We start from the raw sequence: 27,671 nt of genomic DNA, 5'->3' as shown, positions 1-27,671 counted from the left end.
AGGAACTTGTAATTCTCTGGAAACATGAGCCCTTCATAAGTGAAAAGGTAAAAAGCACAATAACTGGGCAACATATGATAAGTGAGTAGGAGGGAGTTCAGAGGAGAGGATAATCTGTATGATCATTTTTCTGAGAAAATAGAGAAGTTGGGATTTTAGTCAGATTGGTTGGATCAGGCCAAGTGGAGCCGAGGGATGAGAGATACAAAATGAACACTGGAATGGAGAGCAGAAGTAAACCTACCTGACTTAAAAAAAAAAAGGTAGAAAGCAGATTGTGACAGATCTTAAATAGAAAATTAAAGGGTTTAAATAAGAACAAGCATATAACATGAAATACACCCCCTTAGTAAATTTGTTTTACTGATTTGTTTACAGTATTGTAACAAAATGTGTGCACACTGTTGTACAACAGATCTGTAGACATTTCTCATTTTACATGACTGAAATTCTATATTTATTGAACAGCAGCTTCTCATTGCCCTCCTCCCCACAGCCCCTGGCAATTAGCATCCTATTTTTTGCTTCTATGAGTTTAGCTACTTTACATACCGCCTATAGATGGAATTATGCATTTGTTCTTTTATGACTGGCTTATTTGACTTATTTCACATAATGTCATCAAGGTTCATCCATCTGGTAACATGACAGGATTTCCTTCTTTTTATGGCTGAATAATATTCCATTGTTTGTATATACCACATTTTCTTTACTCATTCATCTGTCAATGAACATTTGGGTTGTTGACACCTCTTGGCTATTGTGAATAAAGCTGCAATGAACCTAGCAGTGCAAATATCCTGTTTATATCAACAAGATATAAATATCCAGTTTTTATCCTGTTAACATTGATGTAAACAGGATACTTGCACTCCTGCGAGATCCTGTTTTCAGTTGCTTTGATGAATACTCCAAAGTCCTTTCTCCAATTTTTAGCCCAGTAATTTGGTGTTTGCTATTGAGTTATAGGAGTGTTTTACAGATTTTGAATATTAACCCCATATCAGATACATGATTTGAAAATATTGCTTTCCATTACGTAGGTTGACTTTTCACTCTGTTGTTTTTTTCTCTAACTGTGCAGAAGCTTTTTAGTTTAATTAAGTCCCATCTATTTATTTTTCTTTTTGTTGCATTTGCTTTTGGGTTCTTGGTCATGACTTCCTTGCCTAAGCCTGTGTCTAGAAGATTTTTTTCCAGTGTTATCTTCTAGAATATTATGGTTTCAGGTCTTAGGTTCAAGTCTTTGATCCATCTTAAGGTGATTTTTTGTGTAAGATGAGAAATGAGGATCCAGCTTTATTCTTTCACATGTGGCTTGCAGTTATCCCAGCATCATTTGTTGAATAGGGTGTCCTTTCTTTCCCCACTTTATGTTTTTGTTTGCTTTGTTGAAGATTAGTTAGCTGTAAATATTTGGCTTTATTTCTGGGTTCTCTTGTCTGGCCCATTGGTCTACATGCCTAATTTTATACCAGTACCATGCTGTTTTGGTAACTATAGCCTAGTTTGGAGTCAGGTAATGCGATGCTCCAGATTTGTTCTTTTTGCTTAGTGTTGCTTTGGCTATTCAGGGTCTTTTTTGGTTCCAAAGGAATTTTAGTATTGTGTTTTCTAGTTCCATGAAGAATGATGATGGTATTTTGATGAGAATTGCATTGAATTTGTAGATTGCTTTTGGCAGTATGGTCATTTTCACAATATTTATTCTGCCCATTCATGAGCATGGGATATGTTTCCATTTGCTTATGTCATCTATGATTTCTTTCAGCAGTGTTTTGTAGTTTTTCTTGTAGAGGTCTTTTACCTTCTTGGTTAGGTATATTTCTTTTTTTTTTGAGACGGAGTCTCGGAATCTCACTCTGTCACCCAGGCTGGAGTGCAGTGGCGTGATCTTGGCTCACTGCAAGCTCCGCCTTCTGGGTTCATGCCATTCTCCTGCCTTAGCCTCTCAAGTAGCTGGGACTACAGGTGCCCACCACCATGCCTGGCTAATTTTTTTGTATTTTTAGTAGAGACGGGGTTTCACCTTGTTAGCCAGGATGGTCTCGATCTCCTGGTCTTGTGATCCGCCTGCCTTGGCCTCCCAAAGTGCTGGGATTACAGGCATGAGCCACCGCACCCGCCTTGGTTAGGTATACTTCTAAGTATTTTATTTTTTATTTTTGTAGCTATTGTAAAAGGGGTTGAGTTCTTGATTTTTATTCTCAGCTTGCTCGTTGTTGGTGTATAGCAGTGCTAATGATTTGTCTCCATTGATTTTGTATCCTGAAACTTTACTGAATCTATTTATCAGAGCTAGGAGTTTTTCGGATGAGACTTTAGGGTTTTATAGGTATACAATCATATCATCAGCAAACAGCAATGGTTTGACTTCCTCTTTACCGATTCTTTATTTCTTTCTCTTGTCTGATTGCTCTGGCTAGGACTACCAGTACAATGTTGAATAGCAGTGGTGAAAGTCGGCATCCTTGTCTTGTTCCAATTCTCAGCAGGAATGCTTTTAACTTTTCCCCATTCACCATAATGTTCACTGTGGGTTTGTCATAGATGGCTTTTATTACCTTGAGGTATGTTTCTTCTATGCCAGTTTTGCTGAGGGTTTTAATCATAAAATGATGCTGAATTTTCTCAAATGCTTTTTCTGCAACTATTGAAATGATCATATGATTTTTGTTTTTAATGATGTTTATGTGATGTATCACATTTATTGACTTGCATATGTTAAACCATCCCTGCATTTCTGGTATGAAACCCACTTGATCATTGTGTATTATCTTTTTGATAAGCTGTTAGATTTGGTTAGCTAGTATTTTGTTGAGGATTTTTGCATCTATATTCATCAGGGATATTGTTCTGTAGTTTCTCTTTTTTGTTATGTCCTTTCCTGGTTTTGGTATTAAGGTGATACTGGCTTTATGGAATGATTTAGGGAGGATCCCCTCTTTCTCTGTCTTTTGGAATAGTGTCAATAGGATTGGTACCAATTCTTCTTTGAATGTCTGATAGAATTCAGCTGTGAATCTCTCTGGTCCTGGACTTTTTTTTTTTTTGGCAGTTTTTAAATGATCATTTCTATCTTTCTGTTTGTTATTAATCTGTTCAGAGTTTCTGTTTCTTCCTGGTTTAATCTAGGAGGGTTGTATACTTCCAGAAATTTATACATCTCCTCTAAGTTTTCTAGTTTGTGTGCGTAAAGGTGTTCATAGTAGGCTGAATGATCTTTTGTATTTCTGTAGTATCAGTTGTAATATCTCCCATTTCGTTTCTATTGAACTTATTTGGATCTTCTCTCTACTTTTCTTTGTTAATCTCAGTAATTGCCTATCAATTTTATTTATCCTTCAAAGAACCAGCTTTTTGTTTCATTTATCTTTGTATTTTTTGTTTCAATTTAATTTAGTTCTGCTCTGATCTTTATTATTTATTTTATATTCTGCTGGGTTTGGGTTTTATTTGTTCTTGTTTCTCTACTTCCTTGAGGTGTGACCTTAAATTGTCTATTTGTGCTCTTTCAGACTTTTTGATATAGGCATTTAATACTATGAACTTTCCTCTTGCTACTGCTTTTGCCGTATCCCAGTGGTTTTCATAGGTTGTGTCACTATTATCGTTCAGTTCAAATAATTTTTTAATTTCCATCTTGATTTCATTGTTGACCCAGAGATCATTCAGGAGCAGATGATTTAATTTTCATGTGTTTGTATGGTTTTGAGGGTTCCTTTTGGAGTTAATTTCCAGTTTTATTCCACTGTGGTCTGAGAGGGTACTTGATATAATTTCTATTTTCTTAAATTTATTGAGACTTGTTTTGCAGTCTCTCATGTGATCTATCTTGGAGAATGTTCTATACTCTGATGAAAAGAATGTCTATTCTGCAGTTGTTGGGTAGAATGTTCTGTAAACATCTTTTAAGTTCATTTGTTCTAGGGCATAGATGAAGTTCACTTTCTTTGTTGACTTTCTGTCTTGACGACCTGCCTAGTGCTGTCAGTAGAGTATCAACATCCCCCACTATTATCGTGTCACCATCTGTCTCATTTCTTAGGTCTAGTAATAATTGTTTTATCAATTTGGAAGCTCCAGTGTTAGGTGCATATATATTGAGGATTGTGACATTTTCATGTTGGACTGATCCTTTTATCATTATATAATATCCCTCTTTGTCTTTTTTTTAACTGTTATTGAGGTCCTGCTTGCTTTTGGTTTCCATTTGCATGAAATACCTTTTTCCACCCTTTTACCTTAGGTTTATTTGAGTCCTTATGTGTTAGGTGAGCCTCTTGAAGACAGCAGATACTTAATTGATGGATTTTTTTTTCATTCTGCCATAAGTGGAGCATTTAGGCTATTTACATTCAACGTTAATATTGAGATGTGAGGTACCATTTTATTCATCGTGTTAGTTGTTGCCTGAATATCTTGTGGGTTTTGTGTGTGTGTGTTGTTGTTTTATAGGCCTGTGAGATTTATGCTTTAAGGAGGTTCTATTTTGGTGTATTTTAAGGCTTGTTTCAAGCTTTAGAACTCATTTTAGCAGTTCTTGTAGTGCTGACTTGGTAGTGGTGAATGCTCTTCACACGTTTGTCTGAAAACGACTTTACCTCTCCTTTGTTTATGAAGCTTAATTTTGCTGGATACAGAATTCTTGATTGGTAATTATTTTGTTTGAGGAAGCTAAAAATAGGACCCCAATCCCTTCTGGCTTGTAGGGTTTCTGCTGAGGAATCTGCTGTAAATCTGATATGTTTTCCTTTATAGGCTACCTGATGCTTTTGCCTCACAGCTCGTATGATTCTTTCCTTCATCTTGACTTTGGAGAACCTGATGACTGTGTGCCTAGGTGGTGATCTTTTTGTGATGAATTTCCCAGCTGTTCTTTGATCTTCTTATATTTGGATGTCTCTATCTCTAGCAAGGCCACGGAGGTTTTCTTCGATTATTTCCTAAAATAAGTTTTCCAAAGTTTTAGATTTCTCTTCTGCCTCAGGAACACCAATTATTCTTAGGTTTGGCCATTTAACACCATCCTAAAATTTGTGGAGGCTTTCTTCTTTTTTTGTTGTTCTTGTTCTTTTTTCTTTGTCTTTGTCTGATTGAGTTAATTAGGAAGCTTTGTCTTTGAGCTCTGAAGTTCTTTCTTCTACCTGTCCTAGTCTATTATTGACACTTTCCAGTGCATTTTGTATTTCTCTGAGTTTGTCTTTCATATCCAGAAGTTGTGATTATATTTTTATGATATCTGTTTCTCTGGAGAATTTTTCATCTATAGCCTGTATTGTTTGTTTTTTTAAATTTCTTTAAGTTGGTTTTCACCTTTCACTGGTATCTCCTTGAGTAGCTTAATAATCAATATTCTGAATTCTTTATCTGGCAATTCAGAGATTTCTTGGTTTGGATCCACTGCTGGGGAGCCAGTGTGGTCTTTGGGGTGTAATAGAACCTTATTTTGTCATATTACCAGAATTACTTTTCTGGTTCCTTCTCATTTGGATAGACTGTTTCAGTGGAAAGATTTGGAACTTAAGGGCTGCTGTTCAGATTAATTTGTCCCATGGGGTGATCCCTTGATGTGGTGCTCTCCCCCTTCTTCTAGGAATGGGGCTTCCTGAGAGCTGGACTGCAGTGATTGTTATTGCTCTTCTGGGTCTGGCCACCCAGCAGGGCTACCAGGCTCCAGGCTGGTGCTGGAGATTGTCTGCAAAGTGTCCTGTGATGTAATCCATTTTCAGGTCTCTCAGCTGTCGATACCAGCACTTGCTCTGGTGGAGGTGGCAGGGGAGTGAAGTAGACTGTAAGAGTCCTTGGTTGTAGATACGTTTCACGTGCTGGCTTTCTCAAATGCTGGTTATGCTAGCAGTGAACAGACTCAGGACCTCTGGTTAGCCAGGGTGTTGCAGTCAGTGGAATTAGCTGTTGTTTTCTCCTTCCTTGGAGTAGGGTTATTTTGTCATGAGTTATTTTTGAGTACTTCCTTGGAGTAGGGTTATTTTGTCAGGTTATTTTGTCATGAGTTGCCATAATATCCTGAGTTGGTTGGCCTCCAGCCAGGAGGTATTGCTTTCAAGAGAGCACCAGCTGCAGTAGTGGAAGGGGGATATAAGCTTGCCCTAAGTTGGCCAGAATAAGTATTTGGGTTTCTCAGGTGATGGGCAAGGCCATAAAGCTCCCAAGAGTTTATGTCTTTTGTGATTGGCTACTAGGCGGGTAGAGAAGTACCATCAGGTGGGAGCAGGGTTACGCCAGTCTGAGCTCAGACTCTCTCCTTGGGCAGGGCTTGCCACACTCCTGTGGGGGAGGGGGTGTGGTTCTTGGGCCAATGGGGTTATGTTCCAGAGGGCATTTTGTTCCATAATACCCTCTGTCATCAGAGAAGTAGGGGAAAGCCGGTAGCATTAGGTCTTACCCAGCTCCCATGTAGAGGTCGGTTTTGCCCCTGACAATGTGCCCTACTAACAGCACTGAGTTTGTCTCCAGGTAGCCTGTGCTCAGCATTCAGACCTTGCCCCAGGCTATAAGCTTCCCTGCTGAGAAAGCAAGCAAGGCTTTCAGGCCTCGCCCCTCCCTGCCTTCAAATACTGTTGGCCTTGGCTCCTGTGCTACTCTCTGCAACAGTTCCGTTTCACCCTCAGATTCTGCTCTAGAGAGTTTGCATTCAGTCAAAATTATTACAAAGTTCAGTTGGAATCTTTTTTCAGCCTGTGACCCCTCCCAGATTCTGCCGGCTGCCTTCCCTGAGGGCCCTAGTGAGATATAGTCAAGGATGGCTTCCCTTGGCTTGAGCTGGAGAATGGGAGTGCCTACAATGCTCTTCCTGCTGCTGCTTCTACTTTTATGTTTCACGCTAAATCAGTTTCAGCTCTAGGTAAGGTTAAATCCTTCTCCTGTAATCTGGGTTTTCAGGGTCCCCAGTGGGGATGTGTGTCTGGAGGCAGGTGTTCCCCCTCACACACTTTGGGAACTCACAGTTTTTTTGCTGTCTTGCAGAATTTGTAGCAGCATGCCATTTCTGTCAGAGGATCTATGAAATCCTTAAGTTTTCCTGGTACTTTACTGTAGTGGTTCTTGGAGCAAAAGTCCATGATGTGAGTCTCCATACACTGTTCTGTCCAAGTGGAAGCCCCTTCCCTACTACCATTCCCAACCTCTGCTAACCACCATTCAATTTATTCTCTATCTCCATGAGATCAATTTTTTTTTAGCTTCCACATATGAGTTGGAACATGCAACATTTGTCTTTCTGTGTCTGGCTTATTTCACTTAATATAATATCCTCCCATTCTAGCCTTGTTGTGGCAAATATAGGATTTCATTCTTCTTATGGTGGAATAATATTCCATTGTGTATAATATACTACATTTTCTTTATCCAGTCATCTGTTGGTGGATACTTATGTTGATTCTGTATTTTGGCTATTGTGAGTAACACTGCAATAAACTTGAGAATGCAGATTATCTCTCTGATATACTGATTTTCTTTCTTTGGTATATATACTCAGTAGTGGGATTGCTAAATCATATGGTAGTTCTATTTTTATTTTTTTGAGGAAACTCCATACTTTTTTCATATTAGCTGTATTGATTTACATTCCCACCAATAAATCACCCTTTCTCTGTGTTCTCACCAGCATTTGTTATTTTCTGTCTTTTTAATAATGATCATTCTAATGAGATGATATCTTATTCTGGTTTTGATTTGCATTTCCCTGATGACTAGCAATGTTGAACATTTTCTCATTTATTTATTGGCCACTTGTATGTCTCCCTTTGAGAAATGTCTACTAATTAATGTCTGATATAAAAGGAGAAAGGAAACTGATATTTATTAAGTTCCTGTTATATTCTATGTATCATTTTATTTATTCCTACAGCAACCTTATGATGCTGATGGTAACATGATTCTATAGATTAAGAAATAGTTTACATCTCTAGTAAAGTGCAGAACTGGATTTCAAATCTGCACTCTACTTCCAGTTCTGCACATTTTAACTTTTTTAAAGTTTGTGTTTAACATATGATAAATATGAAACATATGTGCACAGCTTAAACAATGATGATAAAACAAACCCTATTAAGGATATTAAATAGAACATTGGAAGCCCCTTGTGTGTCTCTCTCTAATTGTGTCTACCTCCTCCCTCTCTGCATTTAGAGGTAAATGTTCTTTTGTTTTTGCCATGCTTTTACCATCTATAAATATACTCCTACAATATCTGGTACTTTGCGTGTTTTGTAAATTCATGTAAATGGAATTCTACTATGCATATTCTTCAGTGACTTTCTTCTTCCATTCAATTTTGTCTTTTCATCTTAATCCAGGTTGATACATGTAATTATAGGTTCATTCTTAATTTACATTTTATAGTATAACCCACTATATAGATGTGCTATAATTTTTTAATTGATACTACTGCTGATAAACACATATGGCCTTTCTTGTGGTTGGTTTGCACAAATACTCCAGGTGCGCCTGTAAACTATGTAAATTCCCATTTGAGGATTCAGTATTCTATAGATGACCACTAGATCAAGTTTGTTAATATTAGTGTTTAAGTTTTCTCTGTTCTTGTGGTCTCTATCTGCTTGACTTCTGGAGAAAAATGTCTTAAAATTTCCCTCTCTAATAGTGGATTTGCCCAACTCTATTTACATATTCATCAATTTTCACTTTTTATACTTGGAATTCATGTTATTAGATACACAAAAAATGATGGTTTTTATATCTTCTTGATGAATATAACCTTTAATCACTATTTAGTTACACACTTAAACAATGTAGTTTACCTTCAAGTCTGCTAGATCTAATAATAATGTAATTACATCAGCTCTTTTGGGCTGGTAAATGCCTTGCATATTTTATATTTTAGGTGTGTTTCTTATAAATGGCATATAACTAGATTTTTTTTCTCTTAACCCAACTTTTATTTTTCCTTTAAGATTATAATTTTGGTTTTGAAAGAAGAGAGAAAAAGTAGCCTAGATTTGCCTGCTTCACCGAAAGGATTATTTCTGGTTCTGGATAAGTGGTTCCATCTCGAGTAAATAGCTTCAATGAGAGAGTTAGGGGGACCTCATTCCCTTTAACCGGTCAGCCGTCTGCAGGTTACACTCTGGCTATGGAGCTGAGCCTGTTTCTTTCATGCACACCCTTATCTTAATATTGTATGTTCTTAGAGCCTTTTGAGCCCCAGAACAGAAGTTGTTTATAATTTTTTATTGTATGCTTATTTTTATCTACAAGTTTTTATTAGCCTATCATAACTCAATACAAAATTATTTTCACATATTAAAAATATGCTAATCCTCCCAGAAAGGATTTTGCTCCTTTTTCTAAATTCTTATTTATACTTTGCATATACCTCTACTTCTGTTACAACTCTTAATGTAATAATTTTTATTTTAATGGACCATCTGCCATAATAAATTATGAATTCATTGGGAACAGGGACTCTGTCTTACTGATAATTATATACTTAGGGCCTAATATTGTGCTGTTAATTGAGCCTTATACATAGTAGAAAATTAATAAAATTTCAGATGAAAAATGAACAAACAGATGAATTAAGTGATTAAACACTAGCTGACAGGTGGTAGAATGCAAATATCACAACATTCTAATTCTGTACCTCCAGTCAGTGTAGACACTTAAAATCTTTCACTTTGAATTCTGAAAGAGCAGTTTCAGATATTGAAGGCAGTTCTAAATCATTGTATCAATCAGGATTATTTCAGTAAGTGGTGGAAACCCAGCTTAAACAGGCTTACATAAATATATGAAAACTTCAGGGATTCAATCACAACTGAATTCAGGACTCTAAACAATTTCAGAAGAGCCCAGTCACTCCAACTCTCTCCATTTGGTAATTCATTGATTTCATTCTCAGGCTGTCCCCTGGATGGTTTCCCACTGTTCAGTTTTACCTCATTCTTAATGCTATTCCCAGCAGTGCCACTGAAGTTTGAAACGTGCTTCAGTTGGGCTGAATTGGGTCCCTTACTCATTCCTGGACCAGTCATTTTTTCTGGGGATGCACAATATACTGACTGACTTAGATGTCTGTCACATGTTCACAGTTACAGTCGAAGGTGGAGTCACCTCCCCTCAAACAACGTGCACTAAAAGTGAAGAGAGTTTTTCCTTAAGGAAAATTAGGGTGCTTTTGCCTGAAAAAGGATTAACATACATTGGACTGGCATAAGACACAATGTGCCCATTTCCATAATCTAATCCATATCTTACTTTTAAAAATAAGAAAGCTTCATTAAAAAGTTAGGTTATTGTCTAAAGTAATACAGTTTCTTGAATGGTGCTGTTTATGTAATAAGCTTACAATACTATATTATAGACTTTTAAACTGACAGAGTTTTTTTTTATTGTGTTAAAGTATAGAAAGTATAGAGCAAAATATAACATGAAGGAAAGATTCCCATGTAGTTTGTCACTCTGTTGCATTTCAGAACAAGATAAAAGTGACCTGAGTAGATTTGCTCTTTGGTATAGTTATTTAAAAATTATGTCAGTACAGTTAAAAATTAGATAAAACTTCTTAATGGTTATAAAATGACTAAAAGCAATCATTCAAACTATAATTCTAAAAAGAGACTTAGAACTTTGCTGGCATCTTGAATAATTAGGAGAACAGAACTTATTAAGAAAATGTTGCCATGTTGAATAGATGTTGTATAGTGTTTTCTGATTTAAGACTTTTTAAAAATAATTAACTTTGAAAGAGTTTTCATTCAGAGAGCAATCGATTTTTAACAACATGTATTTTGTTTAACAAAATACTTTTTTAGTATTGAAATTTCTATTCAAATTCACACTCACTTTCTTCTGCAAATTCCTCTTCTCTTTTTATCATCTTGTATCAAAAAGGGAAATAAGTTGAAGAATATTCTTCAACTAATGAGTAATGAAGAACTAATGCATTCTTCAGCTAACGAATACTGAGTTCCAGACTCTGCAGATCTCTTAATAGATATTAAAACACTGTTTGTTTCCTCCATCTGTTTTCAGACTTTGTGAACACTCTATTCGGTTTACTGTACTCTTATCAGTTTAACATTTGGACCCATTGCTTCCGTTTTAGAAATACTTTTTCTGAAAAGGTGTCTGGAGGTTGAAGAATAAAATACTGAGCAGATTATTTGAATATTAACTTACTGTTTAAAAATAAGTTTATCCTATATTTTTAGATGCCCAGTAGTTTTCTGTTTGCCCATACTGCAACCCATTTTGAGGACTTCTTAATGGGAAATGAATGGTTTCAAAGAGTATTGTCCATCTCCACATTAATGCTGATTTATCAAAATGTCAGTTGATCTAAAATTTCTATTGTGTGCATTTATATTGCTTTTATAGGGACTCCTTGGAAATAGAGGACCTCCTGGACCTCCTGGTCTCAAAGGAACTCAGGTATGGAAGAAGTGATATCCAGTCAGCTTCAGCAAGGTTTTTAGTTAAAATTTTCCCTTTTTATTTATTGTGGGCCTTCAGTTTTTGCTTAAACACCATCAGATTTCCAGTTACCATTTTATTTATATATTTAGACAGAGTCTTGGTCTCTTGCCCAGGATGGAGTGCAGTGGTGCTATCTTGGCTCACTGCAGCCTCGACCTCCTGGGCTCCAGCAATCCTCCTGCCTCACCCTCCCAAGTAGCTGGGACTACAGGTGCACCACCATGCCTGGCTAATTTTTGTATTTTTTGTAAAGACACAGTTTTGCTATGTTACCCAGGCTGGCCGAACTTCTGGCCTCAAGCAGTCCTCCCACCTAAATGTCCCAGAGTGCTGGGATTACAGGTATAAGCCACTACACCCAGCCTTCAAGTTAACACTTTATTTTGCCAGTTATGGAATAGAATTAAGAATCATTTTACAGTGTTCTGAATTCATTAAATGATTTATGTTAGTGGTCTCCAATGGAATGTCTGAAGAATCTGAACCCAGAATCTCACTCATATATACTAGAATTTATATTTACTATTTGTGACTACTTAATATTTTTGAACCAATAAATTATATTTTAATTGAATTGTGAATTGAGCAAAATATTTACCAAATAAATAACATATACTATATGATTCTAGGGAGGTCTGTATGTATTATTCAGAAAACAATCATCTATTTTTTAAAGGTAAATCAGTATATTTAGTAAATATGTCTATAAATGGAGTAAAAACACTTACTGCCTTTTTTTCTTTTAGAGAATTATGAATAAAAGCTTTTAATTTTTTTCTATGTTCATCTTCAGTCTCTATCCACCCATATAGTTTTTGGTCCCTACACGAATGCACCAGGTTCACACAAAAAAACTAAAGTGTTGTGGGGTGATGGAGTTCAAAGTACAAGAAAATAACAGCATTATTTTCATCACATCTCAGAATGAGCTTCACATTTTAGAATAAATAGAGAAAATAAGAGTTTACATTTTTAAATACTCATTTTAGGCCATAATATGTTCTGACTTTTTTTTTTTTTAAGGGAGAAGAAGGACCAATTGGAGCCTTTGGGGAACTGGGGCCAAGAGTAGGTATCATATAAATAATTTTCCATAAGTGCTTTTCTTGAAAATAGCTGTTCTATAAATGTTTTTAACATCATAACATTTTACATTATAGTAAAGGACAAAAATGAAAACAAATTAAAGTCATAAAATGCCCCAAAATAAAATAGGCCAATAACTGGAAGTCCCAAATATATTTTGAATGATGTTATGCCTACTACATAGTTACTTGTTATTTCAGTGGTCTGTAGACTTAGTAATTTGTGCAAATTATTTATAAATTTCTCAAAATGTAATAGGAAGCTAAATACTTTAGCCATTTTAGTAATATTCTGAGATTTCCTGTTTTCTAAATGTGTTAGTAAAATTATGGAAGGCTAATAAGATGTATTTTCTGCCAATTTTTTCATCAGATAATACCATGGGTAATATGTTAATTATTTGTTTTCAAGTTCTAGAAATGAATTATTTAAACATTTTTGGTATACATGATCAAAGTTTACCTTATGAAATAATTAAGGTATATGTGTTACATTTATTTTAAGAGGCATTAGACTCACATGAAATACATCTCATTTCTTTTCTTGACAACATCATAAAGTACTGGTTCTTCCTTTTTTTTTTTTTTTTTTTTTTTTTTTTTTTGAGACAGAGTCTCACTCTGTCATCCAGGCTGGAGTGCAGTGGCGTGATCTTGACTCACTGCAACCTCCACCTCCTGGGTTCAAGCAATTCTCCTGCCTCAGCCTCCCGAGTAGCTAGAATTACAGGCATGTGCCACCATGCCCTGCTAATTTTTGTATTTTTAGTAGAGATGGGGTTTTACCATGTTGATCAGGCTGGTCTTGAACTCCTGGCCTCAGGTGATCCACCCACCTCGGCCTCCCAAAGTGCTGGGATTACAGGAGTGAGCCACCATGCCTGGCCAAAGTACTGGTTCTTAAAATGCTTTTACGTTTAAAAAGACTGTGATTATTTCTTTCACATTTTTACCTTACTAGCACATATATTGCTATATCCCATTGGGGGAAAAAAAAGAGTTTTCATTTTATTTTTCGTGAGAATTATTTAACAGAAAAACTGGTATTTGAGCCCAATAAAATTGATCTTATTTAAAATTTACTTCCTTCGAAAACAGGAGAACCATATTCAACTCTGGTCTACACAGTCTTAATATTAATTATTATTGTTGTTGCTATTTGTTGAATATCAATTTGGGACCTAGTATTGCTATAAGTATATGAATCATCTTTAATCCTGAAAACAACTTTGCAAGATATCGTTCCTATTTTTAGATGTGAAAATAAGATTTTAGTATTAGATGTTCAAGTATAACACTCTCAAAATCAATACAATATGATAGAATTTAAGTAGGACAAGAAGTTATGATTCTGTTACTGATATTCTGAAATGCTTGATTTCAAAGACTTTGAAAATGTGCTGATACCAGATTCCAGTGAGATTCTTTCCATAATGTAAATATGTATAACTCTATCTTAATGTACTACACAGTGCTTGAAAGAGTATTATTAAAGATGAAAGGAATGACTCATTAAGGCTCTTACCAACCAGTGGAAATAAAAATAGAATTGGTTTTATAAATATCATAGAAAAAATCTAATAATTCAGGTTCTTAACTATATTTCTTGTTCTGTATATCTAAATTAAGTAGAGAACAATTGATATTTAATAATAATAGGATGGTTTTCAGTTCTTTGCTTTGCTTTTTGCTTGTTAGGAAATGATTCGATAATTTAGAGCAGTCAAAAGCAAAAATTAGAATGTTTTGACTAGAAGTCTTAAATATAGTTGTAAGTGGCTAAAGCTTTTATGTGTAGTAAAAACAGAATGGGAGCCAGAGAGTTGTTCTGTTTCACTTTAAGAAGAAAAAATATAAGAGCATGTCTTAATTGACAACAGCAATAAAATCCAATATAGCAGGGGTCCCCAACCCCCAGGCCATGGACTGGGAGTGAGCGTTACCACTTGTATTAGTCTAGGTTCTCTAGAGGGACAGAACTAATAGGATATATATAAAGGGGAGTTTATTAAGTATTAACTTACACGATCACAAGTTCCCACAATAGGCTGTCTGCAAGCTGAGGAGCAAGGAGAACCAGTCTAAGTCCCAAAACTAAAGAATTTGGAGTCCAATGATCTAAGGCAGAGAAACATCCAGCATGGGAGAAAGATGTAGGCTAGGAGGCTAGGGCAGTCTCTCCTTTTCACATGTTTCTGCCTGCTTTATATTCACTGGCAGCTTATTAGATTGTGCCCACCAGATTAAGAGTGGATCTGCCTTCCCCAGCCCACTGACTCAAATGTTAATCTCTTTTGGCAACACTCTCACAGACACACCCAGGATCAATACTTTGTATCCTTCAATCCAATCAAGTTGACACTAAGTATTGACCATCTAACTGCCTGAGCTTCACCTCCTGTCAGATGAGCAGCAGCATTAGATTCTCATAGGAGCGCAAACCCTATTGTGAACTGTGCAAGCAAGGGATCTAGGTTGCGTGATCTTTATGAGAATCTAATGCCTGATGATCTTCTGAGGTGGACCAGTTTCATCCTGAAACCATACCCTGCTACCTCGTCTGTGGACTTGCTCTCCCCCAGTGATCTTATCCTCTATTCTTTTCAGCTACTCACTGCTACAGTCATACCCTTTACTTTGTCATTACCAGTGATAGCAACCTCTCATTTTCAATTTTGAACTTCTCATTCCCCAACCACCATCTTTCTTTCTAATACATTCTCTCTTATTATCCAATCTAATAGCCCCAATAGGAATGTCAGTGCATTGATTCTGCTGCCTTTCCATTGTGTCTTGTCTCCTTTATGATCCCAAATTCCTCATCCTGCTTAAAACATTATAATTATTCCTTTGATTACATTCTGAATTCTATCTTCAAGCCTATTTATTCTTTTGCTTTTCTAAATTATTACTTTATACTTTCTGTTTCTTCAAACTCCTTTCAGTTATCTCTCATCCTTATTCTTAGCCTTTGCCTTGCATCCTACTTCCCTGAGAAGATTGAAGTAACCAGAAGAGAACTTACAGTTTTCTGACATTGCATCTACCCACCTTCTTTTATCTATACTCTGCTTTCTTTCCTGTTGTTGTGGATGAACAGGCCATTTTTCAAGCTAAGGAAAACTTCCACTTGTTTACTACATACCCTGTCCTTTTGACTACTCAAGATAACTGGTCCAACAATTCCCTCTGTCTCTCCTACATATTCTTTTCTCTATACAGAATCATTCCTATCAGCATATAAAGCTGCTGTTATTCTTCTAGCTTAAAAACAAAACAAAACTTTTTTGGTGTCAGTTTCCCTCCCAGGTGTTACCCTATTTTTTCTTTCCCTTTTCAGTAAAATTCCTCAAAAGTGTTGTCTATACATGCTCTTTCAGTTTTTCTCTTCCCTCTATCTGCTTAAACCACATTTGTTCCCACCACTACAATACAAATGATCTGATAAATACGATCAGTGGTTTCTGTATTGCTGGATCCAATTATCATTTCTCAATCCTCAAAGTCCTCTTATTACTCAATATTTCTATTTTTCAGAATTTGACAAGATCACTCTCTCCTCCTAGAAACAATTTATTTACTTCCATGATTTTCCTCCTCACTTTCTGGCATCAAATTAAATATTTTTCTAATTTCTTCAAATTCTAAGTTTTGGAGTACCCCAAAGATTGGCCTGTGGATTTCTCATTTCTATCTATACTCACTGGCTAAATGAGGTCATCCACCCTAGGACTTTAAATACCATCAAAATGAAAATGCTGGTGGTTTCTAAGATTATTTCTTCCTGTCAGATCTTTCTACTGATTAGAAAGAATTTAACTGATCCAGTTAAATTCTGGACTTGTATAAATAACTACCACAAGATCTCTCCATTTAGATGTCTAACAAGCATATCAAACTAACATGTCCAAAACTTAGCTTCTTATTTACCCTCCAAACCTGTTTTCAGTCTTCTTCATTTCATTTGGTCTGCTACTCTTACATTAAAAACCTGAGATTCATTTTTGAGTCTTCTCTTTCTCCCACGTTTCACACATGACCCGCCAGCAGTTCCTGGAAGCTCTACCTTCACATTATATCCAGAATCTTACCACTCTGCTACCACCCTGATTCACATCCCCATCATCTCTCACTTGGATTATTGTACTAGACGCTTATTTGGACTCTCTTCTTCTACCCTGGAATCAAAGTGATCCTGTTAAAACTTAGATCTCATCAGTTTTCTCCTTAAAGTTGTCTGAGGCTTCCTATCTCACTCAGTTAAAAGTCAAAGTCCTAACTGCAACCTGCAAGGCCCTACATGACCTGACTTCTCATCCCCCATTTCCTTTGACCTCATCACTTTACTGGTCTTCTCTCAATTCTTCAGCTTCTCCTGGTTCCTCCAACATACTACACACATTTTAGCTGTAGTGCCTGTGCACAGGCCCTTTTCCTCTGCCTGGAACACTTTTCCTTCAGATATCCATTTAACTTGTCCCTTTCTTTAGGTCTTTACTCAAATGCCACCAAACTGCCAACTCCCCCAGGAAATGGCACTCTCTGGGGAAGTTGGTTGAGGGGTCAAGGGTCACACTCTTCACAGAATCCTGGGATCTCTCTTCTCTCCCTAGTCCTGAGGAAATAGCTTCTCTCTCTCTCTCTCTCATTGTCATCAAAGACAAGTCACTTCTTACCTTCAGACTCTCGGAAAACTACAGTAAGAATACAAGTAATCTGCAAAGAACTTTTCGGTGAGGGCTTCTTTCCTGGAATCTTACAAACACTTTCAATAAAACTCCCACAACAGTTTATATATCCCTTCCCTGCTTGATTTGTTACCTTACATATTACCACTGCCTAACATACTATATATTTTACTTATTTTTTAAAACATTGTTATTCTCACTAAAATACAAGCTCTATGAGGGCAGGTATGTTCAGTGCAGTCCTCGATCCTCTGCATCTAGAACCGTTCATGGCACATAGTAGACAGTTGGATATTTGTAGAATGAATGGCAAATGAGTATGATGAAATACATTTATCAAATAATTTTAAAGTATTTAAATTTATAAGAATAGTCTAAATTTCATATATCTTAGGAAACTTTCAAAAATGAGAATGACTAAACATATATACTTTCTTCTTTTATGCTGTTCTCTTCTAGGGAAAACCAGGTCAAAAGGGGTATGCAGGTGAACCAGGACCAGAAGGCTTAAAGGTAAAGCAACTGACTTTATTATCAGTTTTAAAATATAATTTTCAGAAAGATAAAATTATGACTTTCATACAAATGTGAAATGAACACATCAACTTAAAAAGAACCAGTGAGATGTTAAAACTGTTACAAAGAGCAACTGAGAATCTATATCTTTATATCTGTATCTATTTATATGCAGGTTGAGTATCCCCTATCTGAAATGCATGGGACCAGAAGTGTTTCAGAGTTCCAATTTTTTTGGAGTTTTAAATATTTGCATTATACATGCTTACAAGTTAAGAATCCCAAATCCAAAAATCTGAAATTCAAAATGCTCCAATGAGCATTTCCTTTCAGTGTCATGCTGATACTCAAAAAGTTTCAGATTTTGGAACATTTATGATTTCAGATCTTCAGATTTTGGATGCTCAATCTGTGTATCTGTGATTATGTCTGTATCTGTATCTATATCTATGTATGTGATTTAATAAAGAAATGTTAGGATAAGATTTGTGTGTTACATACAGGGCAATAAACCATAACTGCTGGGGTTTTCAATTCTACTGGGTAGAAATGTGCAAGTTTCTATAACATTACTAAGTCTGGATCTTTTAATCACTAGTAAACAGTGAGTCTAAGTAATATTCACTAGATAATCACTGGGTAACCTTCATCACTTTATGATATTAAAAAGATATATCTCTCACTATTTACTTTATTTCCAAGGTCTTGGATAATTTTTATAACACCAACAAATATAAAGTAATGCAATGGTTTATTACATACAGAATTGAGACCTGAAAGAAACTAGCTTATAAGAATTGGTAAGTTTTGCAAATTGAAAATTTAACTATGAATTGACATAGTCACAGCATTATTACTACGTTTCCTGAAGCTATTTTTTTGTATTAAATGTATCATTTTTATGATGCTGGAACCTAACGAAAAGCTAAACAACACTTTTCAAGCTTGATAAAGAAATATGAGCTGAAGTATGTTTTAATATATCAGTATGTATGAGGCTAAAGTTATCCTGGGGCAGAATATGTGTACCTGACTCTTTCTCAAGTTACATATAAAAGTCCTCTGAAAAATAGGATTGTAGTATTTACAAACAAAAGGCTTAATCAATTCTCCTTGCCTGGGATTAACAATTCTCCTTTACTAGACTGCCAAATAGCGCTAGGAAATCCAACTGTGAGCTACCATCCAGTGAAACTGGCAAGAAACGGAATCTCATTTATGTATATACTTTCTCTCCCTAGAATCACACCAAAATCTAGGTGGCTTCTGTGTTACCTAGTAAACACAGGAAATTTTGTAATGTTCATTCCTCCCTAGCTGTCACTGAAATTTGCGTTTCAATACATCATGTAGCTATTAACTCGGACCTGGCACTGCCTGGGGGAGTTGCTTAAGGGACACACTCTTCATAGAACCCTAGATCTGTGTTTTCTTTCTAGGCCTGGGGAAATAGCTTCTCTCTCTCTCTTTCATTGTCGTCAAAGACAAGTAACTTCTTACCTTCAGATTCTGAAAACTAAAGTAAGAATGCAAGTAATCTGCAAACAACTTTTGCTTTTTGACTATTAACACAAACCTCCCTTAAAACTAAGTAGCACAAATTTGGAATTTAAGAAGGGTAACTTATGGGTAAGGAGGGAAAAATACTAGAAAACCAATAATTCATATATTATTCTTCCATAAATTTTCCATAAATGCTGTCTAATGAACTGCCTGTTAAAATTAGTTATTAAAACCTACTGCTGTGCTTCATTCTTTACTATTTATCTAAATACATACAGAAACTGAAAAGAAAATTTGTGTAGACTTTGAAAGTTTATTTCAGTGATCACTCATGATGAATATTAGGTTTCAGTGCTTAAAATCACCACTATTCAATAGAAATGCAACATGAACTGCAAATATGAGCCACATTAGATAGTGAAAAGAAAGAAGTAAAATTAATTTAATAGTATATTTTATTTAACTCAAGATATCCAAATATTATATCCTTTCAACATGTAATCAATATTGAAATTATTAATGAGATGTTTTCTATTCTTGTTTTGTAGAAAGTCTTTGAAGTCTGATGTATTTTTTATACTTACATCACATTTCAATTCAGACCAGCCTATTTCAAATATTCAGTAGCCACATGTCATTATTGGCTACAATATTTTTCAGTATCTTAACATCTTACTGTTCTACACTGGAATATAATTATTACTGTTTAGACAGTAATTGATTACTTTTAGACATAACATATTTAATCTGTTTCTGTACACTAAATGTATATTGCTCTTAGAGTCAGTCTCTGTTGTACTTTGAACTTAATCTTTTACCTTTCGTTAATCTATACCTTTGCTGATGCCATTCCTCACCACTAAAAATGACGCTTTCTCATTACCAGTGTTAAGTATCACATATTTTTCAGGGCCCCACTTACAGTTTCATAATCCATTATTTGAAATCATTAATGTTTGGATTTTTGAAAAGTAATATGTTGCATATGCTGTATTTTATTTACCACTACCAGAAGGGTGTGGGACAGCATACCATAATTAGATATATTAATATTTCTGTAGTGAAATGTAAGGACGTTTAGATTAATTGGAATAAATCAAGACTATAAATGGCCTTATTCAGAACAAAATAAGCTTTACTGCCAAATCAATCCAAGTTAGGTCAAGTTTGCCACCAAATGAGTTGTGGAAAACTGAGTTTTCAGAGATTTATGGATTGCAAAATTTTGTTTCAGAGGTTATGAACATGCATTACTTCTCCAGTGATGCCAGCTCTAGCTGCTCCAGTTCACAGGGTGCCTGCTCCTAAGACCTCCTTTAGTACTTAACCTGTGGCATGTATTCTGTTCTATTTGAGCAAATAGAACATCCCTGTGGGAAAGACTTTAATTTTATTCTTCTTAATATCTTTCACAGTGCTTACTACTCTGCCTTTTACAGAGTACACCTCAATAAAGATTTTATTTTTAAAAATTTTATTGATAAAAGTGATTAAAAGTCACGAATAGGAGAATATTTTTTAAGAAAATAGATTATTACCTGATATGGTTTGGATTTGTGTCCCTGCCCAACTCTCATGTCAAACTGGAGGAGGGACCTAGTGGGAAGCGATTGGCTCATTGGGGCTTATTTCCGCCTTGCTATTCTTGGGATAGCGAGTGAGTTCTCACGAGATCTGACAGTTTAAACGTGTGTGGCACTTCACCCTTTGCTCTCACTCTCTCCTGCTCCAACATGTGAAGTTGTGCTTGCTTCCCCTTTACCTTCCATCATGATTGTAAGCTTCCTGAGGCCTCCCAGTCATGCTTGGTGTTAAACCGTGGAACTGTGAGTTAATTAAACCTCTTTTCTTCATAAATTACCCAGTCTCAGGTAGTTCTTTATAGCAGTGTGAGAACAGACTGATACGTTACTATTTGAATGAAAATAGAGGGTAGGCCACATTTCATAGAAATACTATAACAGAGTTTTTAAAAATTTTTATTTTAAGTTCTGGGGTACATGTGCAGGATGTGTAGATTTGTTATATAGGTAAACATGTGCCATGGTGGTTTGCTCCACTTATAACAAAGTTTTAAGTAACTGAAATTTCCTTTGCCTTTTTCTAGGTTATGACTAGATAATTACATTAAAAAGGAAAATTGAAACTGTCATGAATAATCTAGTTTGAAAAATAACTGTTTTTGCAACTTTATATTCTTTTTTGACAGGGAGAAGTAGGAGATCAAGGAAATATTGGAAAAATTGGTGAAACAGTAAGCTTATTTTATGCTCTTATTTTTTAATCAGCTGTAAGCATTTTTAGGAATCATATTAGCCATGATTACGTTTGCTATAGTCAAGTTACTCGGAATCAGAATAATTCTTATCCACTACAAATTTAAACTTACTTGTGATGTTTCTGCTGGCAAATAAAACCTATTGTACAAAAGAGAAAAGAGAGAAAACACAATTGATGACATTTTCATCCAATATAAAGTATATTTGTGACCTCAGAAACATTGTTTCTAATATTTGGTTTTTAATTTTATTCTGATAGCTTCAATCTAATTTGACCTTAACATTTTTCACTATTTTATTTATTTATTTATTTATTTATTTATTTATTTATTTATTTATTGAGATGGAGTCTTGCTCTGTCACCCAAGCTGGAGCACAGTGGCATGATCTTGGCTCACTGCATCCTCTGCCTCCCGGGTTCAAGCGATTCTCCTGCCTCAGCCTCCCGGGATAGCTGGAATTACAGGTGTGTGCCACCACACCCAGCTAATTTTTGTATTTTTAGTAGAGATGGAGTTTCCCCATGTCAACCAGGCTAGTCTCGAACTCCTGGCCTGAAGTAATCCACCCGCCTCAGCTTCCCAAAGTGCTGGGATTACAGGTGTGAGCCACTGCACTCAGCCATTTTTCATTATTAAAAAGCTTATTAAATTATACAATAATTTAATAGCTTGAAGATAGTTTTTCTTTAGGTTTGAAAAGTTGAGGTAAATTAAGAGATATTGAGCTGGAAAGTGTAATTGTGTTCCTCAAATAAAGTTTGAGTTGTTCAAATTAATATTATTGTGGAAGAACAGGCTTCATGTTGTATTTGAATCAGATTTGTTAGAAGTAATTTTATTCTTTACAATGAAGAAAGCCAGCCAAAATATTCTCTAACAAATGAACTTACATAACATACATAAAGTGGAAAATTAAATTAACACCAGGAAAGTGAATTCGTTTACAGAGTGTGCTAAATTAATTGTCACAAAATAGATAATATTATTTCTTATGACTTAAAAAATTTTCTTCTATATGGTTGTTTTATAGGCTTAAATAATTAATTATAAATCTTGGTCTTGTGACAAAACAACAAAACATTTCTGATGCCCATTTTTTGTTATTAATTGTTAATAAAAATAGGAAGAGTATCTGTGTAGTCCTAAAAGATAATTGCCATACCTAATTAATCCTGAGTCACTAGAAGGAGAACTTTTTGTTCTTGCTTTTTCTGGGAAAGTTTCAAGGAAGTATTTGTATGAATTAGGTTATTAAAGGCTTCTAGTCAAATATGATTGTAACATATTTCTCTAAGATTACTCAAATTCTGCCATTTCTGAGTGACAAATTGCTTAAGAAATATATATAAAGTTGGCATCCGAAGTTAAAATGCTAATGAAGAACATATTTTCTTAAAGTAATATCTTACATATTAAACTTTTAAGTGTTATTTACTTAATAGTTTTGGACTAATTCCACATAGTATAAGAACCCACTGCCAGTGCTTTCCAAAGAGGAAACAGACTATCTTGGCAGGTAGTAGATTTTTGTCACTGGAGGGAAAATAACATTTATTGAACATTTGCTATGTACTAGGTATAGTGCCAAGTGACATTTCATATTACGGTATTCCATTTAATTCTCAAACAGCTTTAAAAGATACATTTTGTTATTCTGGTTTTAAAATTAGGAATCTGGAGCACATTGAGTAACCAGTTCAAAGTTACATAGCTAATAAATTACTGAACTGAGATTTAAACCCAAAGCTCCAAACTCAAAATCCAAATCTTTGCATTATGCCATGCTTGGATATTTTAATATTAGTTCAATAGCTATCTCATATAAATGTTGTAGAGAGTCTTTAAGCATCTGATAAGTTATTAGACAAAAAGACCTTTCCAACTTTGAGATTCTATCTTTCTTGTTAAGGATGGCACATGAAGCCTTCTTTAAAAAATTACTGCCTATATCAAGTTTATTCAAATATATAAAATGTCTAAAGAATATTTTTATTTTTGGCTCTCAGTAATTCTGGCTTTCATTTTGTCTTTCTAATTTCAAAATCTTAGAAATATAGTTCATCTAATCCAGAGTTCTGTTGCCAAGAAAATTCTTGAGAGATAGGAGAAGATATGGTTGCACTTCATGACATCTATCTTGTAATTGTAGTAGCTGATTTTTACTTTGTTCAATCTTTTTGTATAGTCATTAATTGCCTTTAACTGGCCCTCCTCCAGGTTTGTTTGTTTCTAGATTTATACCAGTTAGAATTCAATTTGTGATAGAGTGTGTGAAGCACAGCAGTCCCACCTATATTTCATGTCTACCTCTTGCAATTATTTATAGTATACAAAGACTTAATTTCCATAAATGTGCCCCAGATGAGTCTCTAATTTCAAAAGATGCCCTCTCATCTTCCATATTCTAGCATTCAGATGTTTAGAAGTAAATCTAGAATTATCTAACCATAATTACCAGTCCTCTCTGTCTTAAACTTTCTAGGCTGAAAGTATTCGAAGAACTGTAAAGAAAAAAACATGTTCTTTTTCACTATTGGCCAAAAGACCAATATTAGGATCAGTGGATAGACATTATAAGGGAACAGCTTTTGGTTTAATGTAGGCAAGAATATTTTAATAGAATTTCTAACACTCAAATAGGTTCTTCCATAGAGTGATCCAACACCTTATTATTGGAAGGTTTGATGTCTTTTTTCAATCATTTATTAGGCAGATATTTATTGATTATAGCAGGCACATTTTTAAACATATGGTCCCTACCTTCATGGAATTTACAGTCTATTGGAGGTTTGACAGATATTAAATAGTCACAGAAAGAAATATGTAAACTGTGATGCATTCTATAAAAAATAGTACAAGGGACTATGACAAGGGTGCCAATTTTAGATCAATAGATGAGAGAAGGCTGTTTTGAGGAAATGACATATAAGTAGTAATCATAAAGAATGATATAAGTTAGCCAGGGAAGGGGTGGGGAAAAAACTTCCCTGGAATATGCAATATAACATAATTTCCATCTTTGCCACCTACCTTGCTATGGAAAAAATACTTAATGTTTCTAAATATTTGTTTTTTTTTCAGCAGTAAAACGATGAAAATAACTACCTTATAGATTTTCTTATGAGGATTAAAAGTGATAATGCACATAAAGCACTTATCACAATGCCAGTCATGTAGTAAAAACTTGATAAATGTTAGCTGTTGTGGTGGAGGTTATTGTTATATGTGATGGTAGCTCTTTTGAGGAACTGAAATAAAGTTGGTGTGGATAAGCTTTGATGAGCAAAGGGAGAAGGTATGTGAGATGATACTAGTGAAGGAGGCAGGAGCCAATCATTTAGGACCATGTTTATTACTTTGCACTTGAATGTAAGGTCAATGAACAATCGCTAAAGGTATGCTAAGTAAGCCAATGTTATGATTTAGTTTGAGGTTTAAGATCACTCTTATTGCAATGGATTGGGAAGCATGGCTGTAAAGAGCAGAAGTAGAAGAGGATAACCAATGAGGATGCTTCTGTAGTAGTCTATATGAATGAGAAAGATGATTTAGACCAGTGGAGATAAAGAGAAGTGGATATATTTGGAAGATATTTGAGATAACAGATTGGAGGTAGGCTGCAAATCAGGGGAGGATCCTAGTCAGTCTCCAGTGTGCAATTAGGCCTTTGATAACTAAACTATTTAGGATTTATCAGGAATATTCTGGAAGCACAAGGAAATGGCATATAGACTGTCTCAGGATAATTCCAATTCTAAGAATCCATGACTTCTTTCTAAGAATGTTGATGTTTCTAGTCTTCCTCTCACCTGCAAATTTGACTTCTTTTCTCTGGCCCTTTTATTTTATTTATTTATTTATTAAATTATACTTTAAGTTCTGGGATACATGTGCAAAATGCGCAGGTTTGTTACATAGGTATACATGTGCCATGGTGGTTTGCTGCACCCATCAACCCGTCATCTCGGTTTTAAACCCTGCATGCATTAGGTATTTGTCCTCATGCTCTCCCTCCCCTTGCACCCCATCCCCTGACAGGCCCTGGTGTGTGATGTTCCCCTCGTGGTGTCCATGTGTTCTCATTGTTCAACTCCCACTTATGTGTGAGAACATGCAGTGTTTGGTTTTCTGTTCCTCTGTTAGTTTGCTGAGAATGATGGTACGACATGAACTCATTCTTTTTTATGGCTGCATAGTATTCTGTGGTGTATATGCGTCACATTTTCTTTATCCAGTCTATCATTGATGGGCATTTGGGTTGGTTCTAAGTTTCTCTGGCCGTTTTCTAGTTTCATTATGTCTTTCTGATGTTGGAGCAAACAAAACTAAAGTATTTTAGAGGCAGTGACTTCACAGCTTTCTTCATGAGTAGGATAATGACTCCTATTATGTTTTCTTTACTGTTGATGATACTTAAATCAAGCAAGCCTTTTACCTGTAACAGGAAACTGAGGATGTCTTTGGCAAATAATCGGTGGGGACTTCTAGGGTCATTTTCTGGTCTCATATTTTATATGTAAAATGTGGATTTATTTTTTCACAGTTTCCTTGATTACATTAAGTTTCAGTTGCCACATTTCTGCCCCACGTGAAGATTTTCAGATGATTGTCCAGTAGTCTGGCCACATTGTTTCATCTCTTAAAACATAACCCAACTTATTTGATTTACCACAATTATTCCTTTACTTATAGACTTTGGTGAACAAAGTAAGATTTCATGAGAAATCTACTGTGTCCTCTCTGTTTTTCTGCCTCCTGTCTGGTGTGCTAATGTATAATAAATGACCGATGAGCAGAGAGGAAGAAGAGAAAGGCATGGATAATCCTCAAAATCAGATACTCTGTTTCTCATTACAAAACCTTTATAATCATAAACCCTCTCATGACTGATTCTGAGCTGGGTTATAACGAATTCATTCAGAAGCAAAAAGAGGTGGAGTCAGTGGAGGAAATAAAAAGAAATAAATATATTTATTGAAGGCCTGTTAATTTCATTTAGTCTTTAAACAACTCTTATGAAATAAGTTTTCATATTGCATTCTATAAATGAGGAAACTGAAATTTATTGAAGTTATGTAATGTATCCAAATTCATACAGTGAGTAAGTAGCAGACCTGGATTTCAAATCCAAAATTTTTATCTTCCGTTCCAAGTCTCTCTTTTCTGCATCAGGTAATCATCAATTTGTCCTGTTTTTAAACTTGAAGTGCATCCTTGAGAATTAATGTTTAAGAGATGTGAAAAAGGGTAAAATAAAATTTTGCTCTGTAATATCTTAAGCCAAGCTGGCAATTTACTTTTAAAAATATTGTCAAATGTTATTTGCCTCTGAGAATTATGAAAATATAACTTAATGTATTTGTGATAGAAATAGGAAAGACTTTGAAAGAGCCAGAAAAAAATATCGTAGAAGTGCTCAGCACAAAACCTCATTTGATACAGTGATTGGTTTTGCTACCCTCTGGTAGAATTACCATGAAATTAGCTTGATACATGTTGGTTTTATTTTATTTCCAATTTTTTCTTTCATTAATAATGAAATGGGAAAACTTCCCTTATCCCCCCTGCAGGGTGTGCAATAGGGGTGTGGCTCATTTCTTTGGTGTCCCGCTGTCAAACCCCTAGGGGAAGCATGCAGACAGGCAGGTAGTGCGTAGCATTTTGGGGCTCCAATCCCACGGCAGCATCTAGGGTTGAGTGTTTACAGCTCCCAAAGCCCCAGTGGGCATGTGTTACAGTGTGCTCTTTCAGCTTTGCCGTCTGCAGGCGGCTTGTGTTAATCAGCTCAATTAGATGCTCTGCCTTATCGCAAAGACAGAGGGCTTTCTGTATCCCGGGTTCTTGCCCTGGTGTCCTGGAAAAATCAGATCACATGTGGGCTTGGAGGATGGGTGCAAGGTTTTACTGAGTGATGGAGGTTGTTCTCAGCAAGCCAGATGGGGAGCCAAAAGGGGATGGAATGGGAAGGTGGTCTTCCCCTGGAGTCAGGCCACCCAGTGGCTGGACTTTTCTCCCAACTACACCAACTGAATTCCATGTGGTCTCCCCGTAGATGGCCTGCTGGTGTCTGTTGTTGTGTTATTCTGCTTCTCTTATCATCCACCCATTTGTGTCTGTGTCTGTATCCGGCTTATAGCG

General features: G+C 35.6%; 1 protein-coding gene across 22 annotated transcripts in view, besides 2 other annotated features; it reads left to right on the top strand.

Moving 5' to 3' along the window:
- The window catches only part of COL24A1 (collagen type XXIV alpha 1 chain), a 427,752-nt gene that overhangs the window by 174,230 nt on the left and 225,851 nt on the right, over window positions 1-27,671 (top strand). For 12 of the 22 annotated variants that reach the window (NR_146340.2, NR_146341.2, NR_146342.2 and 9 more), the window contains 4 exons: window positions 11,362-11,415; window positions 12,484-12,528; window positions 17,693-17,746; window positions 21,462-21,506. Coding sequence is in view for 16 of the 22 variants with exons in the window: in XM_047417004.1 (XP_047272960.1) it covers window positions 11,362-11,415; window positions 12,484-12,528; window positions 17,693-17,746; window positions 21,462-21,506 (198 nt within the window). In the remaining 6 variants the exon portion in view is untranslated. Of the gene's footprint in view, window positions 1-2; window positions 48-11,361; window positions 11,416-12,483; window positions 12,533-17,692; window positions 17,747-18,451; window positions 18,550-21,461; window positions 21,507-21,874; window positions 21,998-27,671 lie in introns of those variants that run through there. The other 10 variants (XM_017000925.3, XM_017000924.3, XM_017000927.2 and 7 more) reach the window with 4 other exon arrangements.
- Window positions 5,764-5,843: an enhancer, noted in NCBI's record as "active region_1273". NCBI's record gives its function as "activates an Ori minimal core promoter by ATAC-STARR-seq in GM12878 lymphoblastoid cells {active_cell/tissue: GM12878}" and the evidence as "EXISTENCE:reporter gene assay evidence [ECO:0000049][PMID:35858748]".
- Window positions 18,929-19,098: an enhancer, noted in NCBI's record as "experimental_9402 CRE fragment used in MPRA reporter constructs". NCBI's record gives its function as "activates a minimal promoter by MPRAs in K562 erythroleukemia cells, with activity observed for the non-introgressed 1:86429425 variant allele {active_cell/tissue: K562}" and the evidence as "EXISTENCE:reporter gene assay evidence [ECO:0000049][PMID:34662402]".

Source organism: Homo sapiens, chromosome 1, assembly GCF_000001405.40.
Source record: "Homo sapiens chromosome 1, GRCh38.p14 Primary Assembly".
In the NCBI taxonomy this organism is placed as follows: Eukaryota; Metazoa; Chordata; class Mammalia; order Primates; family Hominidae; genus Homo; species Homo sapiens.
The sequence above is the reverse complement of the archived record's forward strand: the minus strand, read 5'-3'. Positions and strand labels throughout refer to the sequence as shown.